The sequence below is a fragment of the Homo sapiens genome, chromosome 19 (genome assembly GCF_000001405.40).
Source record: "Homo sapiens chromosome 19, GRCh38.p14 Primary Assembly".
In the NCBI taxonomy this organism is placed as follows: Eukaryota; Metazoa; Chordata; class Mammalia; order Primates; family Hominidae; genus Homo; species Homo sapiens.
Window position 1 is genome coordinate 3136033 of NC_000019.10, and position 17851 is coordinate 3153883.

Sequence of the window (17851 nt, forward strand, 5' to 3'; positions counted from 1 at the left end):
AGAAGGAGGAAGAAGGGCCCTGCTGGTCACACAGGACCCAGTCTGCGGTGGGGGTTTTCCCGCCACCGCCCCGCCCTCCCTGGGGCCCCCACCTCACCCTCTCCTGGCACCCTTCACCGTCAACCTGTCGGGCCGGGTCTGAGCAGGTCTGGAGGTGGGCGGGGAGCCCTGGCCTCCCCACCTCCTCCCGTCCCCACCCTGTTCCCAGCACTCAAGCCTTGCCACCGCCGAGCCGGGCTTCCTGGGTGTTTCAGGCAAGGAAGTCTAGGTCCCTGGGGGGTGACCCCCAAGGAAAAGGCAGCCTCCCTGCGCACCCGGTTGCCCGGAGCCCTCTCCAGGGCCGGCTGGGCTGGGGGTTGCCCTGGCCAGCAGGGGCCCGGGGGCGATGCCACCCGGTGCCGACTGAGGCCACCGCACCATGGCCCGCTCGCTGACCTGGCGCTGCTGCCCCTGGTGCCTGACGGAGGATGAGAAGGCCGCCGCCCGGGTGGACCAGGAGATCAACAGGATCCTCTTGGAGCAGAAGAAGCAGGACCGCGGGGAGCTGAAGCTGCTGCTTTTGGGTGAGTCCAGGGTCGGTGGGCGGTGGGTGGTGGGCAGTGGGCGGTGGCCAGCCGGCAGGGGTGTCGGGGCAAGGAGGCGGATCAGGCTAGGTCAGACATTGGCATCGTGGAGCCGTCGCCTCCTCCCAGGGAATGGGGAGCCTGGAACCCATTTTCCAGATGAGAAAGACTGAGGTTCAGAGAAGCCAAGTTCCTTGTCCAACGTGCGACCAGCGGCCAGGTGCCCAGGCCTGTCCACTGTGTGGGGCATATACAATAGCAGACGTGGCTCTACCGGGCCCCTGCCGGGCAGGCCCAGCACGCCCTACCTGTCTGTGTCATGGCGAGGGAATGATGAGCTCAGGTGTGCAACCCGTTCTGGCCAGCCCACCCGTAAGGGAGGGGCCGGCTCCAGCCTCTCCTTCACCAGGACGCTCCCTCTCGCCTTTACCTCCCTGCCATGGCTGGAGAGGGCTTGTCTAGGGCTCCTTTGGGGGCTAGAAAGGATGGATTGATTGGTTCATTGGTTCATTCATTCATTATTCATTCATTTAAGATTTATTGGGTAGCTCCCAGGAACGAGGCAGCCAAACAGGGGAAGATATTTCTGTCTTCCTGGATCTCATTTCCTGTGAAGGAGCCAAGACATTTAGTCTGTAAACTCATAAGCAGATAAAATAATTCTGGCAACAAGAATTATCTAGGAGAAAACAAAACAGGGTGATGGCTTCCATGCGGAGGCTTCAGATGGGGGAGTCGACGTCAGTAACGGTTCAAGATTCTGAACTCTGGCTGGGTGCAGTGGCTCAAGCCTGTGATTTCAGCACTTTGGGAGGCCCAGGCGGGTGGGATCACTTGAGGTCAGGAGTTCAAGACACAGCCAGGCCAACATGGTGAAGCCCCGTCTCTACTAAAATACCAAAAATTTGCCAGGCATGGTGGCTCATGCCTGTAATCCCAGCACTTTGGGAGGCCGAGGTGGGTGGATCACAAGGTCGGGAGATCGAGACCAGCCTGACCAACACGGTGAAACCCCATCTCTACCAAAATACCAAAAATTAGCCAGATGTGGTGGTGCGTGCCTGTAGTCCCTGCTACTCGGGAGGCTGAGGCAGGGGAATTGCATGAAACCAGGAGGTGGAGACTGCAGTGAGCTGAGATCATGCCACTGCACTCCAGACTGGCGACAGAGTGAGACGCCATCTCAAACAAATAAACAAACAAACAAAACCAAAAATTAGCTGGGCATGGTGGCACACAGCTATAATCCCAGCTACTCGGGAGGCTGAGGCATGAGAATCGCTTGAACCCAGGAGGCAGAGGTTGCAGTGAGCTGAGATCGGGCCACTGCACTCCAGCCTGGATGACAGAGCAAGACTCATTGTCAATAAATAAATAAATATAAATAAAATAAATAAATAAATCATGCCTGTAATCCCAGCACTTTGGGACGCCAAGGCGGGCAGATCACTTGAGGCCAGGAGTTCGAAATCAGCCTGGTCAACGTGGCGAAACCCCGTCTCTACTCAAAATACAAAAAAATTAGCCGGGTGTGGTGGCATGTGCCTGTAATCCCAGCTACTGGGGAGGCTGAGGCAGGAGAATCGCTTGAAACCAGGAGGTGGAGGCTGCAGTGAGCCAGGATTGCACTATTGCACCCCAGCCTGGGCAACAAGAACAAAACTCCGTCTCAAAAAAAAAAAAATTCTGATCTCTGAAACCTCGGGGTCTTCTCATTCCCGTAGCTTGTTTCCCCAATTACCTTTCCCTGATTATGGCCCCGTTGGCCTAAGCCCGGGATGCTAGCCTGGGAGGGTCTTCTGGGATCCCCGAGCTCTGGGTTGGGGGCTGGAGAAGGTCTCAAGTCTTCTGGACTCGCGTTTGTCTGCCCCGGGCAAAGAGCTTGATCATCCCGTGATGGTTGCTATCGTCCTTTCCTCGTTCAGTGGGAAGAGGCCGCCCGAGAGGAAAGAGAGAGAACATCGAGTGGGATGGTGGGGACCCCCAGGAACTGCACCTTCACTGGGGGCCCTTTCTTTCTTTTTTCTTTTCTTATTTTTATTTTTATTTTTTTGAGACGGAGTCTTGCTCTGTCACCCAGGCTGGGGTGCAGTGGTGCGATCTCAACTCACTGCAACCTCCGCCTCCCGGGTTCAAGCAATTCTCCTGTCTCAGCCTCTTGAGTAGCTGGGATTATAGGCACGCGCCACCACGCCCAGTTAATTTTTTTTTTTTTTGTATTTTTAGTAGAGATGGGGTTCCACCATGTTGGCCAGGCTGGTCTCGAACTCCTGACCTGGTGATCAACCCGCCTTGGCCTCCCGAAGTGTTGGGATTACAGGCGTGAGCCACCGCGCCCAGCCTCTTTTTTTTTTTTTTTCTTTTTTTTTAGATTGAGTCTTGCTCTGTCCCCCAGGTTGGAGTGCAGTGGTGAGATCTCAGCTCACTGCAACCTCCGCCTCCTGGGTTCAAGTGATTCTCCTGCCTCAGTCTCCTGAGCAGCTGGGACTACTGGTGCGCACTACCACACCTGGCTAATTTTTGTATTTTTAGTAGAGATGGGGTTTCACCATGTTGGCCAGGCTGGTCTCGAACCCCTGACCTCAGGTGATCCTACCACCTTGGCCTCCCAAAGTGTGGGGATTACAGGCGTGAGCCACTGCACCCAGTCAAGGGCCCTTTCAACTCTAGCCTTGATCCCTCTTACTGAACGAGATAAAAGAATATCTCAGCAGGGCATAGTGGTTCATTCCTGTAATCTTAGCACTTTGGGAGGCCTAGGTGGGAGGATTGCTTGAGCTTAGGAGTTTCAGACCAGCCTGGGCAACTTAGCAAGACCCAGTCTCTAAAAAAAATAAATAAATAAAATAATTAGCCAGGCATGGTGGTGCGCAACTGTAGTTCCAACTACTTGGGAGGCTGAGGTGAGAGGATCACTTGAGCCTGGGAGGTTGAGGCTGCAGTGAGCTATGATCATGCCACTGCACTCCAGCCTGGGTGACAGAGCAAAGCTGACTCTGTCTCAAAAAAAAAAAAAAAAAAATGCCGGGTGCAGTGGCTCATGCCTGTAATCCCAGCACTTTGGGAGGCCGAGGTGGGCAGATCATGAGGTCAGGAGGTTGAGAACATCCTGGCTAACACGATGAAACCCCGTCTCTACTAAAAATATAAAAAATCAGGGCTGGGTGCGGTGGCTCACGCCTGCAATCACAGCACTTTGGGGGGCCGAGGAGGGTGGATCACGAGGTCAGGAGATGGAGACCATCCTGGCTAATGTGGTGAAACCCCATCTCTACTAAAAATACAAAAATTAGCCAGGCGTGGTGGTGCGCACCTGTAGTCCCAGCTACTTGGGAGGGTGAGGCAGGAGAATTGCTCTAACTTGGAGGCAGAGGTTGCAGTGAGCCAAGATCACACCACTGAACTCCAGCCTAGGCAATAAGAGTGAAACTCCATCTCAAAAAAAAAAAATCTATCTATCTATCTATCTATCTATCTATCTATCTATCTATATTTGACATATTAATGTGTCATATTATGTCACATTATGACGTATCATATCGATATGTCTTATTATTTTAAATAAATAGGGCTACTTAGGCTATCTACTTCTTCTTGTGTGGGTTTTGATCATTTGTGTCTTTCAAATAATTTGTCCATTTTGCCTGTGTTATCAAATTTATTGGCATAACATTTATAACGTTCCCTTGTTCTCCTGCTACTGTCTGTAGGATCTGCAGTGATGTCCTCTCTTTTGCTCTTGGTATCGATCATTTCTGCCTTTGCTCATTTTTTTCTTGATCTATCAAGCTAGGGGTTTATCACTTTTAGTGCTCTTTCCTCGAATACCTCAAGGTCATTTATCCCTGACCTTTGCCTGGCTGGCCCTTTCACTCCATGTAGGTCTCAACCCAAGTGTCGCCTCCTCAGAGAAGTCTTCCCTGACTACCCTAGCTATAAAGACAGTCCTATCTTCTCCTTCCCCTTACTCTGTTTGATTTTTCTTCCTGGCCCTCACTATTTGTTCACTTGTTTATTGTTTATCTCTCCAGCTATACAGCAAGCAACAAAAGGGTAGGGACCACATCTGTCTTCTTCATCCCTGTGTCTCCAGCATCTAGCACAGGTGTACAATGAGCCTGCCATATAGTAGATGCTCAAGAAATGCTGAATGAATGAATGAATGAATGAATGAATCATTTTTGGGGAGAACTTCCCCCAGACACTGTATCATATCTTCCTGGAGCTGGGAAAGTCCCTTCCACATACCACTCTGGGCACTACTCAGCCAGCCTCAAAGCAGGAAGCCCCTTCTACTGATGGAGGGCAGGGGATGACATCCATGTCCCCAGGCACTGATGTAGCACTGTGGACTGTGGTTTAAACCACCTCATCCCTGGAGACAGGTCTGAGGGCAACCTCCAGACCTCTGTCCCTTCTTGGAAACAGGAATTGAATCCAAAAGCTGTTTTTTTTTTACCTGGAGGTGGCTGATCCTTTTGAGGAAGATGGCAAAAAGGACCAGGGTGGGGGTGGGTCTGTCCCTGACATGAAGCAACCCTCATATTGGGGAAGGGGGAGAGTCAGAATGAAGCCGTGAGCCGGGTATGGTGGCACATACCTGTAGTCCCAGTTACTCGGGAGGCTAAGGCAGGAGGATTGCTTGAGCCCAGGAGTTCAAGACCAGCCTGGACAACATTGCGAGACCCAGTCTCTAAACAAAAACAAAAAAAGAAAAGAAAAGAAAGTGAACAACAACAAAAACAGGAAAATAAAGCTGTGAAAGGGACCAGTTATGTCCTTAGCACTTTAAACATTTTATTTTTTATTTTTATTTTTGAGACAGAGTCTTACTCTATCACCCCGGTTGGAGTGCAGTGGTGCGATCTCGGCTCACGGCAACCTTTGCCTCCTGGGTTCAAGCAATCCTCTTGCCTCAGCTTCCTGAGTAGCTGGGACTACAAGTGTGCACCATCATGCCCAGCTAATTTTTGTATTTTTAGTAGAGACGGGGTTTCACCATGTTAGCCAGGCTGGTCTCGAACTCCTGACCTCAGGTGATCCATCTGCCTTGGCCTCCCCAAAGTGACGAGATTAGAGATGTGAGCCATTGTGCCCGGCCTGTTCTTAGCACTTTGAGGCAGGCACTCCTAGTTTCCCCCAAAGGATAAACTGAGGCTCAGAGAGGCAGAGCGACTTGCCCAAGGTCACACAGCTGAGACTCGCACCTAGAATTCTGGTTCCAAAGTCCATGCTCCTGACTGCCCTGTTCGCCTGCCTTGGGGGACAGAAACACCACAGAACCCCAGTGCCAGATGGGGAAAATGAGGCCCAAGGAGGCAGCAGGATTGATTGGGGGTCAGCAGCTAGTTTGAGCCAGAGCGGGACTGAGAGGCCGAGCCTCCTGCCCCTGCGGCTGCCTGGCCTGGCTCCCCACTTCCCCAGCAGCTGCGTTTCCTGTGAGGGCCTGGTGCTGGACTCTGTGCACATAGCTGGCTCCAGTTGCCTTGTGATGACTGGGGCTTGGCACGGTTAACCCAGTTCCTTCCTGGCATCTGCCGGTTCCACTTCCTCCTGTCCTCCTCCGTGCCCAGGAGGAAGCAGGAACTTCCCGTCTGGGCCGCATGGCCTTTGGGGGTATCCTAAAACAGATCACTCCCACCATTTCTATCCAGGAGCTGGGGGATGTCTGGGGGTCGGGGGGCAATGGAGAGGTCCCAGAATCCTTTGTGGCTTCAGGACAGCAATGGATTGCAAAGAGGGGGTTCTCACGCAGCTCTTCAGGCTTCGGGTGATGACCCATCCCTGAGTCATCAAATCTGTGTCGCGGGTGGCAACAGGATTATCATTTATTTCCTATAACAAAGCAGAAGAGGAAAAAAAAATCAGTGCATCACAAAATAAAGCCAACTGTTGCTTGCCAAGACTTATGTTTGTTCTCTGCACTTTGGGGCAAACTAAGATCTGAGAGTTGGAAGACAACTGGGGGACAGGAGCCCAAAAGGTCCAGTCCTGGCTGGGCGCGGTGGCTCAGGCCTGTCATCCCAGCACTTTGGGAGGCTGAGGAGGGGTGGATCACTTGAGGCCAGGAGTTCAAGACCAGTCTGGCCAACATGGTGAAACCTCGTCTCTACTAAAAACACAAAAATTAGCCGGGTGTGGTGGTGCACGCCTCTAATCCCAGCTGCCTGGGAGGCTGAGGCAGGAGAATCGCTTGAACCTGGGAGGAGGAGGTTGCGGTGTGCTGAGATCACACCATTGCACTCCAGTCTGTGTGACAGAGCCAGACTCTATATCAAAAAATAAAAATAAAAACAAAAAGTAAAAAAAAGGAAGAAGAAGATCTGAGGGTTGGAAGGCAATTGGGGGACAGGAGCTCAAAAAGTCCAGTCATCGGCAGTTGGGCTCAATGCCACACCCCAAGGAGCTGTCGAGCCTCCCAGACTCTGTAAAAACATTGCTTTAACAGACGTGTTAATGACACCTACCCCAGCTCGACTGGCCGTGTCCCATTTTGTTGGTGAAGGACTCACACGACCCCAAGTTTACTCCCCTGGGGTTCCACTTGCTGTGTGACCCAAATTAAGTCACTAAACCTCTCTGGTCCTCTGTGTCTCATCTGCAAATGGGAAAATCATAGAATCTGTGAGGATTAACTGGGGATCCGTAGAGTCTCTGGGCTCGGGGTTGGGAAGACGGTAAGATTTAAATCATGCTAGCTGTGATTTTTATTATGATTGTTATAATCATTCAGGCAGGGTAAAGGAACCTCCAGGTATAATAATTTAGAAACCCATAAGCTCAAGGTGGCTCATGCCTGTAATCCCAGTACTTTGGGAGGCCAAGGCAAGTGGATCCCTTGAGGCCAGGAGTTCGAGACCAGCCTGGCCAAAATGGCAAAACCCTGTCTCTACTAAAAATACAAAAATTAGCCGGACACGGTGGTGCACACCTGTAATGACAGCTAGTCTGGAGGTTGAGGCAGGAGAATCGCTTGAAACCCATGAGGTGGAGGTTGCAGTGAGCCAATATCAAGCCACTGCACTCTAGCCTGGGTGACAGAGTGAGACCCTGTCTCAAAAATAATAATAATAATAAAAAATAAAAGCCCATAGGCTCTAGACTCAAACAGAACTGAGTTTGAATCCCAGTCTGCCACTCACCAGGACCATTGAAGGAATTGTGCGACCCACAGCAATTCCCTCAACGGCCCCGAGACTGAGTTTCCCCACATGGAAACAGGGCTAAGAGTTGTCCCTCTCTTGGCCAGGCGCAGTGGCTCACGCCTGTAATCCCAGCACTTTGGGAGGACGAGGCGGGTGGATCACAAGGTCAGGAGATCGAGACCATCCTGGCTAACATGGTGAAACCCCGTCTCTACTAAAAAAAAACAAAAAAAATTAGCTGGGCATGGTGGTGGGCGCCTGTCGTCCCAGCTGCTTGGGAGGCTGAGGCAGGAGAATGGCGTGAACCCGGGAGGTGGAGCTTACAGTGAGCCGAGATCGCGACACTGCACTCCAGCCTGGGCGATAGAGCAAGAAAGACTCCCTCTCAAAAAAAAAAAAAAAGAGTTGTCCCCCTCTCGTGGTGAGGCTCAGGACAGATGGTGGGACTCCAGCTCTTAGCTCACCAGGGACACCCAGTCAAGGGCCAGCAAGCTCACAATTCCCTCTGCTACTAGCCCCAAATAGCCAAAGCTCCAAAAACTTGATGGTCCCCCATAGTGTCTCCATGAGAAACTCAAAGAAACGGGTGGGAGGATGTTTGTTTATTGCACTGACTCCCATTCCTACATTCCGCTGCAGGAATATTAGTGAGTTGACATGTCCCCATCCTAACATGCAATAAATTCTGGAATCTGAAGCTCTCACAGCTCTGCATCAGAGAATTTCAGATTGTGGACCTGGGGGATGTTGTCGTTTGAGTAGTTTGTTTGTTTATTTATTTATTTATATTTTATTTATTTTTTTTTGAGTCGGAGTCTCGCTCTGTCACCCAGGCTGGAGTGCAGTGGCATGATCTCGGCTCATTGCAAGCTCCGCCTCCCCGGTTCACGCCATTCTCCTGCCTCAGCCTCCCAAGTAGCTGGAACTACAGGCGCCCGCCACCATGCCCGGTTAATTTTTTGTATTTTTAGTAGAGACGGGGTTTCACCGTGTTAGCCAGGATGGTCTCGATCTCCTGACCTCGTGATCCGCCCGCCTTGGCCTCCCATAGTGCTGAGATTACAGGCGTGAGCCACCGGGCCCGGCCCTTTATTTTTATTTTTTTTGAGACAGAGTCTGGCTCTGTCACCCAGGTTGGAGTGCAGTGGCATGATCTCGGCTCACTGCAGCCTCCGCCTCCCAGGTTCAAGCAATTCTCCTGCCTCAGCCTCCTGTGTAGCTGGGATTACAGGTGCGCGCCACCATGCCCAGCTAATTTTTGTATTTTTAGTAGAGACAGGGTTTTTGTATTTTTAGTAGAGACAGGGTTTCACCATGTTGGTCAGGCTGGTCTCGAACTCCTGACCTGGTGATCTGCCTGCCTCAGCTTCCCAAAGTGCTGGGATTACAGGCATGAGCCACTGCGCCCAGCCCTAGTTTTTAATTTTTTTTGGAAACTTTTTTTTTTGAGACAAGGTCTTGTTCTGTCACCCAGGCTGGAGTGCAGTGGTGTGATCATGGCTCACTGCAGCCTCAACCTCCTGGGCTCAAATGATCCTCCTACCTCAGCTTCATGAGTAGCTGTAACTACCAGTGTGCACCACTACGTCTGACTAAATATATATATATATATATATATATTTTTTTTTTTTTGTAGAGATGGGGTCTCACTATGTTGCCCAGGGTGGTCTTGAACTCCTTGGCCCAAGCCGCCCCCCTCCCTTAGCTTCCCAAAGCACTGGATTTATAGGCATGAGCCGCTACACCATGCCCAAGCATATACACTGTTTTCTGAACCATTTTTGACTAAGTTGCAGACCTGGTACCTTTTTTTATTTTTTTATTTTTGAGATAGAGTCTCACTCTGTCACCCAGGCTGGAGTGTAGTGGCACGATCTCAGCTCACTGCAACCTCTGCCTCGAGTTCAAGCAATTCTTCTGCCTCAGCCTCCCGAATAGCTGGGATTACAGGCGCCCACCAGCATGCCCCGCTAATTTTTGTATATTTAGTAGAGACAGAGTTTCACCGTGTTGGCCAGGCTGGTCTCGAACTCCTGACCTCAAGTGATCTGGCCACCTCAGCCTCCCAAAGTGCGGAGATTATAGGCGTGAGCCACTGTGCCCAGCCGAGAAAAGCCTGTTTCTTGACTTTGAGCCAAATAGACATGACCCCTGGAGAAACTGAGGACTGGAGAGTCGAGGCGGCCACCCCCGACCTGCCCCCATGGCTCTCCAGTGTGCAGGTGGCACCTGCTAGGTGGAGTTGGAGGCGTTGGAGACAGCCCTTTGGGGAGATGGGAGGTGACACCCCCGCCCCTTCTCCGTGCTCCGGCCTTCTCCTCTGCTCCCATTTCCTCTTTCTGGGCCCCAACCAAGCCACTCCTTCCCTTTTTGCTGCCGCTTGCTCGATCAAGTCCTGCCTGCACCGACCCCTACCCCCGCCCTCTGCACGCCAACCCTGGAGGCAGAAGCAGTCCCATCCCCTCTCCCATCGCTGGTTGGGGCCCATGCTGGTGCCCCCAGGAGCCAGACGAGATGCTGGGCAAGCCTCCAGCCCCCACCTCCCACCTGGTGGATCATACCCATTTTACAGATGAGAAAATTGAGACACAGAGAGGGGGAAGGGCAGCCTTGGGATGTCAGAGCTTAGCGGGGGGCTGAGCTGGTGTCTTTGAACCTCTAGTCCCAGGCTCTTGAAGACTCCAGCATCAGTATCCCGGACCCAGGGCCGGTTTGGCAGGTGCGCGAACTGGGCTGTCCCAGAGGGTTCCAGGCTCAGAAGAGCCTGAAGTTTCAGCTTGCACCCAGCCCCAGAAAATCTGTGGCTGGCCCTGCAAGGACCCTGCCAGATTTTGTACCATCTGTCAGCAAGGTCAGGTCGATTCTGTCTCCCCAGTGTCTCTCAAATATGTCCTCTCCTCTCCAGCTCCATGACAGCCACATTGGTCCAGCCCCACGGTTGCTCACCTGAACCAACGCAGTCCCCACTGCCCTGGTCCGGGCTCCCCCAGACCACCCCCCACAGCCTGTCCTCCCTGCAGCAGCCACCAGAGGGCGCCTGTGAGCACCTGAGTCAGGGCCAGTCCCTCCTCTGCCCACAGCCCTCCATGGCTCCCAAGTCCCTCAGGGTCAAAGCCCAAGACTTCCCTGCAACCCACAAGGCCCAGCACAACCCACCCTCCCCTCCTTCCTCTCTCCCCCTCCTCACTCTGCTCCAGCCACAAGGGCCTCCTCACTGTTCCTCCAATATGCCAGGTGCGGCCCTGCCCCAGGGCCTTTGCACAAGCTGTTACTGTCACCTGGTGTGCCCTCTAAGATTTTGACAGCCACCTTCCGGCCTTCACAAATCACTTTCACTGAGAGGCCTTCCTTGACTGCTCACAAATCACTTCCACTGAGAGGCCTTCCTTGACTGCGTGGCTATCGTAGTCACCTAATTACTCCTTGCCCTATTTATCCTATGTTATTTCTTTCGTAAAAGTTTCTCTACCTGAAATTATTGTAGCAAATAATAATACATATTAGTATTGTTATGATAAATAATAAAAATAGGCCAGGCACGGTGGCTCACGCCTGTAATCCCAGCACTTTGGGAGGCCGAGGCAGACGGATCACTTGAGCCCAGGAATTTGAGACCAGCCTGGCTAACATGGTGAAACCACAGCTGTACTAAAAATACAAAAATTAACTAGGCGTGGTGGCACGCGCCTGTTACCCCAGCTACTTGGGAGGCTGAGGGAGGAGAATCACTTGAACCTGGGAGCCAGAGGTTGCAGTGAGCTGAGATTGCGCCATTGCACTCCAGCCTGGGCAACAGAGAATCTGTCTAAAAAAAAAGAAAAAAAGAAAAAAGAAAAAAACCCATAAGAACCATAACCATAAAAAGTATTAAAAACACAAAAACTGGCCAGGCGCGGTGGCTCACGCTTGTAATCCCAGCACTTTGGGAGGCCGAGGCGGGTGGATCACGAGGTCAAGACCACGGTGAAACCCCGTCTCTACTAAAAATACAAAAAAATTAGCCGGGCGTGGTGGCGGGTGCCTGTAGTCCCAGCTACTCAGAGAGGCTGAGGCAGGAGAATGGTGTGAACCCGGGAGACGGAGCTTGCAGTGAGCCGAGGTCGCGCCACTGCACTCCAGCCTGGGTGACAGAGCAAGACTCCATCTCAAAAAAAAAAAAAAAAAGAAGAGAAAAAGAAAACAAAAACAAACAAAAACTTTCTGGCCACACAAAGATAACTGGATCTGGCCCTCAAGCAGCCGGAGTTTGCGACCCTTACCGTGAGCATTTTATAATCAATTCATTTGGCCCTCAGTTTGATGCAGCAGGCATGGTCTGTTGAGGTCCATGTTTTGTTTTTTTTGTTTGTTTGTTTTGTTTTTTTTTGAGACAGAATCTCGCCCTGTCGCTCAGGCTGGAGTACAATGGTGTGATCTCAGCTCACTGCAATCTCTGCCTCCCAGGTTCAAGCGATTCTCCTGCCTCAGCCTCCTGCGTAGCTGGGATTACAGGCGTGAGCCACCACACCCGGCTAATTTTGTATTTTTAATAGAGATGGGGTTTCGCCATGTTTACCAGGTTGGTCTCTAACTCCTGACCTCAGGTGATCCGCCTGCCTCAGCCTCCCAAAGTGCTGGGACTACAGGCATGAGCCACCGTGCCCAGCCTGAGGTTCATGTTTTACAGATGGGGAAACCAAGGCACAGAGCGGCAAAGCCGCTAGCCTAGGGTCACTGAGTGAGGTCCCGGCTGCACCGGGGTTTGAACCCAGGAGGCCTGGCGTGGAGTTGGGGGTGTCTGACGTGGGGTTGGGGGTGTCGGGGGTGGGAGTCCCGTGGAGGGCTGAGCGGTTCTGCTGCTCCATCCCCAGGCCCAGGCGAGAGCGGGAAGAGCACCTTCATCAAGCAGATGCGGATCATCCACGGCGCCGGCTACTCGGAGGAGGAGCGCAAGGGCTTCCGGCCCCTGGTCTACCAGAACATCTTCGTGTCCATGCGGGCCATGATCGAGGCCATGGAGCGGCTGCAGATTCCATTCAGCAGGCCCGAGAGCAAGGTGAGCCGCCAGGGCAGGCAGGGGCCCAGGGCAGGCAGGGGCCCAGGGCAGGGTTCCCCAGACCCCGGAGCAGGGCCAAGTTCCCCAGACTTCAGGGCAGGGCAGGGCAGGGCAGGGCAGGCAGGGAAGGGTCCCCAGACCCTGGGGCAAGGCCATGTCCTCCAGACATATGTGCATACATACAAGTGCACACACAAGTATACACGCATAAATGCACACACGCACATGTATGCACACGCACAGACATGCACACAAGGACACACACGTACATGCTCACAAAGATACACACGCATGCCCACATGCACACACCCACACACATACACAAATGAATGCACACACGTGCACACGTGTGCACACACACAAATGCACACAAGGATCCATGCAGATGCCCCCACACAGATGCACACAAATAAGTGCACACACAAATGTACACACTCAAACACGCCCATGCACGTGTACACACTCACAAACACACACAAGAATGCATGCAAATTCCCACATGCACACACACACATGCACATACACAAACACACACAAGCATGCATGCAAATTCCCACATGCACACACACACATGCACATACACAAACACACAAGGATACACACATGCCTGCATGCAATCCCCCCATGCACATGCACGCACATGTGTGCACACATACAAATGCACACACAAGCACACCTATGCACGCACCCACAAATGCAGCCAAGGATACATGCGCGTGCCCCACACACAAATATGCAAACAAATCACACACCCAGACACACCCATGTACATGTGTACATCTATACACACACACACACGAGCACGCTTGTACATGAACAAACACAGAGAAATGCACACACAACACTCAGAGTCCATCACAAAGGTCTGAGCAACGCGAGTGCCTGGGGGGAGCTAGGGCTGTTTGGGGAAAAGAAGGGGAAACCCAGAGTCTGGGGGGCAGCTCAGGGTTCACGCGCCTCTGGGGGACTTCTGAGGGGCAGATTGCTTCAGTGCTCTGTGTCTTAGTCGCTTCATCTGTGGAAGGGGGGACTGTGAGTGCCGTGCTTCCTGGGAGCCAGCTAGTGTAAAGAGCGGGGCTGGGTGCCATGCTCCCCCTGAGCCTGGGCTCGCCCGAGCACATGTGCCCTCTGCAGCCCCTCATGTGGTGGTCTGTGCTTTTCCCTCTGGGGATCCATGCAAGAACAGACGGAGGACAAATCAGAAGTGTGCGGGGGGGTCGGGAGCTCTGGGGAAGAAGGAGAGCAGTGGGAAGAGAGCGTGTTTCAGGGAGGGACGTGGGGGCTTGCAGAGATGCCTGCGGAGGGCAGCCCCACTCAGAAAGGCTACCCTAACTGCCCCCGTCCTCCCTCCCCAGCACCACGCTAGCCTGGTCATGAGCCAGGACCCCTATAAAGTGACCACGTTTGAGAAGCGCTACGCTGCGGCCATGCAGTGGCTGTGGAGGGATGCCGGCATCCGGGCCTGCTATGAGCGTCGGCGGGAATTCCACCTGCTCGATTCAGCCGTGTAGTGAGTCTGGGGTCTGCGGGGGATGGGCGCGTGGGGAGGGGCTGAGGGCAGGGGCCAGGCTGGCTGGCTTCCTGCAGCAGGAGATATTGTGGGCGCAGATGGGCTGTGAGGTGGTCCTGCTCCAGGATGAGGTCCTTCCAGGGGGACCCTAATTCCCGGGGGACCCTGTTCTGGGGGTGACCCTTTTCCTGGGGGAACTCCCTTCATGGAATGACCTTGTTCCTGGGTGGACCCTGTTCCTTGGGACTCTGTTCTGGCGGTGATCTTGTTCTTGGAATGACCCTATTCATAGGGGGACTCTGTTCTAGGAGTGACTCTGTTCCTGAGGGAATCCAGTTCCTTGGGGAGACCCTGTTCTAGGGGGTATCCTGTTCCTAGAGTGACCCTGTGCCTGGGGTTCCCTGTTCCTGCGAGGACCCTGTTTCAGGGGTGACCCTGTTCCTGGGGGAACCGTATTCCTAGAGTGACCCTGTTCTTGGGGGGAACCCTGATCCTGGGGGGAACCCTATTCCTGGAGAACCCTGTTCCTGGAGTGACCCTGGGCCTTGGAGTCCCTGTTCCCGTGAGGACCCTGTTTCAGGGGTGACCCTGTTTCTGGGGGGACCCTGTTCCCGGGGGTGACTCTGTTCCCAGGGAGACCCTATTTCCTGGGGGATCCTGTTCTGGCGTTGATCCTTTTCCTGGAGTGACCCTGTTCCTAGGGGTGATCCTGTTCCTGGGGGGACTGTATTCCTAGAGTGACCCTGTTCTTGGAGGGACCCTGTTCCTGGGGGGACCTTGTTCCTGGGGGAACCCTATTCCTAGAGAACCCTGTTCCCGGAGTGACCCTATTCCTGGCGGGAACCTGTTCCTAGAGTGCCCCTGTTTTAGAAGGGACCCTTTTCTGGGAGTGACCCTGTTTCTGAGGGGACCCTATTCTGGGGGGACCCTGTTCCTGGAGTGACCCTGTTCCTGGGGGGACCCTGTTCCTAAAGTGACCCTGTTTTAGGGGGGACTCTGTTCCAGGGGAGACCCTGTTCTGGGGGTGACCCTATTCCTAGTGGGATCCTGTACTAGGTGTGATGGTGGATGTCCAAGGTGGCTTGATGTCTGGGAAGACTGTTCCCAGGCTACCAGCATTCTTGGGGTAGCGCCACCCCTGCCATAGCAGCTCTCCCGGGGGACACCACTCCTCGATGAGGCCATTCCTCATGTCACGCCATCCCTCGGGTCACCCTGCTCTGCGTGTGAAGCTGCTTTTCCTTGGGGCTCCATTGCCTCAGGTGGGGGACGCTCCTGGGCCATCTGCCAACTCCAGGGACCCCACCTCCACCCAGGGAGCTCTCCTCCCCCAGCAGGGTCCTTGCTGGGCCTTTCGTAGGGCCTGGGAAGCAAAGGGAGGCTGGCTGCAAGGCTGGGCCTCAGGACTCCTTGCTCTGCAGCTACCTGTCCCACCTGGAGCGCATCACCGAGGAGGGCTACGTCCCCACAGCTCAGGACGTGCTCCGCAGCCGCATGCCCACCACTGGCATCAACGAGTACTGCTTCTCCGTGCAGAAAACCAACCTGCGGTGAGCGCTCCACCTAGGCCCAGCCTAGGGGGCAGGGAAGGCTTCCTGTAGGAAGGGCAAAGGAGCTGGGGCCCTGAGGGATGAGTAGGAGTTTCTTAGGCCCAGCCTTCAAGGAGCTGCCAAGCTAGGGGAAGCAAAGCTCCATGTAGACACCTCCAGGCCCCCAGGTAGTCAGGACTGGGACCTGTAGGAGCCCAGGCTGAGGCATCAGAGATCCAGGAGGGAATATCTTCTTGGAGGAGGGAATATTAATGGGGTTTTGAAAGACGAATAGGAGTTCAGTAGTCCTAACCCTGAAGGGGCTGCTGGGGAGGAGGAAATAGAGACTATACAGTCAGGACCAGGTCTGGGGAGGCCTGGTCTGGGGAGCTCAGAGGTGATCCCTGTAGTCATCAACACTGGGGGATGGACTAGAGTGTGAGGCTGGAAGTCAGGAAACTCAGAAAAAGGAGGAGCCAGGACAGCGGGCGTGGGGATGGAAAGGAAGGGATGGGCAAGAGTTGTTTCTGATGTGGAATGGGCAGGACTGGATGAGTGTGGGAATTAGAACAGGAAGTCAAAAATGACACCTGAGTTTTTTGTCAAGGTGATGGGGGTAGACAGTGGAGCCGGTGGGCTAGAGGATGAAAAGGTGGTGATGGAGTCCTTTGGGACAGGTTGAGTCTGAGGGGCCTAGGGGGACTCCACCTTAGCTGGCAGACAGAGGTGGGAATGGCCAGTGCAGCACCCTAACCCTAACCCTAACCCAGCAGAGCAATGGCCAATGTCAAAGGTCAGGAAAGGAAAGGTCAAGAATACAGTGAGAAGAATGACTCTGGGATTGGCAGTTAGAGGGTCACTGGTGACCTTAGCAAGATCTGTTTCCATGGGCTGATGGCGGGGAGCTGAGCAGGGGTGCAAAGTCATGCCCAGAGACAGCGATTGTGTTTGACCTACCCCTATTTGGCCTTCCTTTCCCTAAATCCCCCAAACCTATTGTTTTGGCCTCTTCAATAGTCCTTACTAGGAAGGTTCATAATTTATCTGTTTTCTGTGGGTCTCCTCTACAAGATGGAGAGCCTCACAAGGTTAGGGGCTGAGTTTGATTCTTCTGCTTCTTTAGTGAATAGCTAAAGGTCAGAGTAGAAGTTGGTAAATGTGGGTGGATGGTTGGAAAGATGGAATGGGGGCAACCCGCTCGGGTCCCCTTCCACGCTGTGGAAGCTTTGTTCTTTCGCTCTTCACAATAAATCTTGCTGCTGCTCACTCTTTGGGTCCACACCACCTTTAAGAGCTGTAACACTTACTGCGAAGGTCTGCGGCTTCATTCTTGAAGTCAGCGAGACCGAGAACCCACGAGAAGGAACCAGCTCTGGGACACAATAGTAGTGTTAGTACCCAAGGATGACTTCTATGGGAGAGATACTTGGTCTGGGAATCTTTAAAAAAAAAAAAAAAGGAAAGATGGAAGGGAATGGATGGGTGGATGAATGGGTGGATGGATAGATGAATAGATGGATGGATAAGTTGAGGGATAGATGAGTGGATGGATGGAGTGGCAGGATGGATGAGTGGATGAATCAATGGATAGATGGATGAGTGGGTGGATGGATGAATGGATGGATAGATGGATGGATTGAAAGAGGGATGAGTGGATGGATGGATGGATGGATGGTTAGATGGGTGGATGGGTGATACATGAATGGATGAGTGGGTGGATGAGTGGATAGATGGATAGATGGGTGGATGAATGGGTGGATGGATGGGTGAATGAGTGGATGGATGAATTAATGGGTAGATGGGTGGAAGGGTGATGGGTGAATGGATGGGTGGGTGGATTGGTGAGTGAAGGATGGATGGATGAGTGGATAGATGGATGGGTGGGTGGGATGGATGAATGGATGGATGAATGGGTGGGTGAATGCATGGATGGATGGGTGGATGAGTGGATGGATGGATGAATGAATGGGTAGATGGGTGGCAGGTGATGGATGAATGAATGAATAAATGGGTGAATGGGTGAGTGAAGGATGGATGGATGAGTGGGTGAATGGATGGATGAATGGATG

General features: G+C 53.1%; 1 protein-coding gene and 1 long non-coding RNA gene across 2 annotated transcripts in view, besides 1 other annotated feature; one reads left to right on the plus strand and one right to left on the minus strand.

The window, feature by feature from the left end:
- GNA15 (G protein subunit alpha 15) overlaps positions 1 to 17851 on the plus strand; it is a 27717-nt gene continuing 9866 nt past the window's right edge. Inside the window, exons 1-4 of the mRNA NM_002068.4 lie at positions 1 to 563; positions 12559 to 12743; positions 14099 to 14253; positions 15675 to 15803. Of these exons, the coding sequence (NP_002059.3) occupies positions 419 to 563; positions 12559 to 12743; positions 14099 to 14253; positions 15675 to 15803 (614 nt within the window). The 5' untranslated portion in view covers positions 1 to 418. The remainder of the gene's footprint in view (positions 564 to 12558; positions 12744 to 14098; positions 14254 to 15674; positions 15804 to 17851) is intronic.
- Positions 5514 to 6014: an enhancer, noted in NCBI's record as "H3K4me1 hESC enhancer chr19:3141544-3142044 (GRCh37/hg19 assembly coordinates)". NCBI's record gives its function as "activates a minimal SCP1, AML or CMV promoter by ChIP-STARR-seq in naive H9 embryonic stem cells {active_cell/tissue: H9 hESC(naive)}" and the evidence as "EXISTENCE:reporter gene assay evidence [ECO:0000049][PMID:30033119]".
- GNA15-DT (GNA15 divergent transcript) overlaps positions 5544 to 17851 on the minus strand; it is a 13600-nt gene continuing 1292 nt past the window's right edge. The window contains exons 2-4 of the long non-coding RNA NR_110670.1: positions 12584 to 13758; positions 7031 to 7161; positions 5544 to 6398 (exon numbers count right to left, since the gene is read on the minus strand). This is a non-coding gene — a long non-coding RNA (GNA15 divergent transcript). The remainder of the gene's footprint in view (positions 6399 to 7030; positions 7162 to 12583; positions 13759 to 17851) is intronic.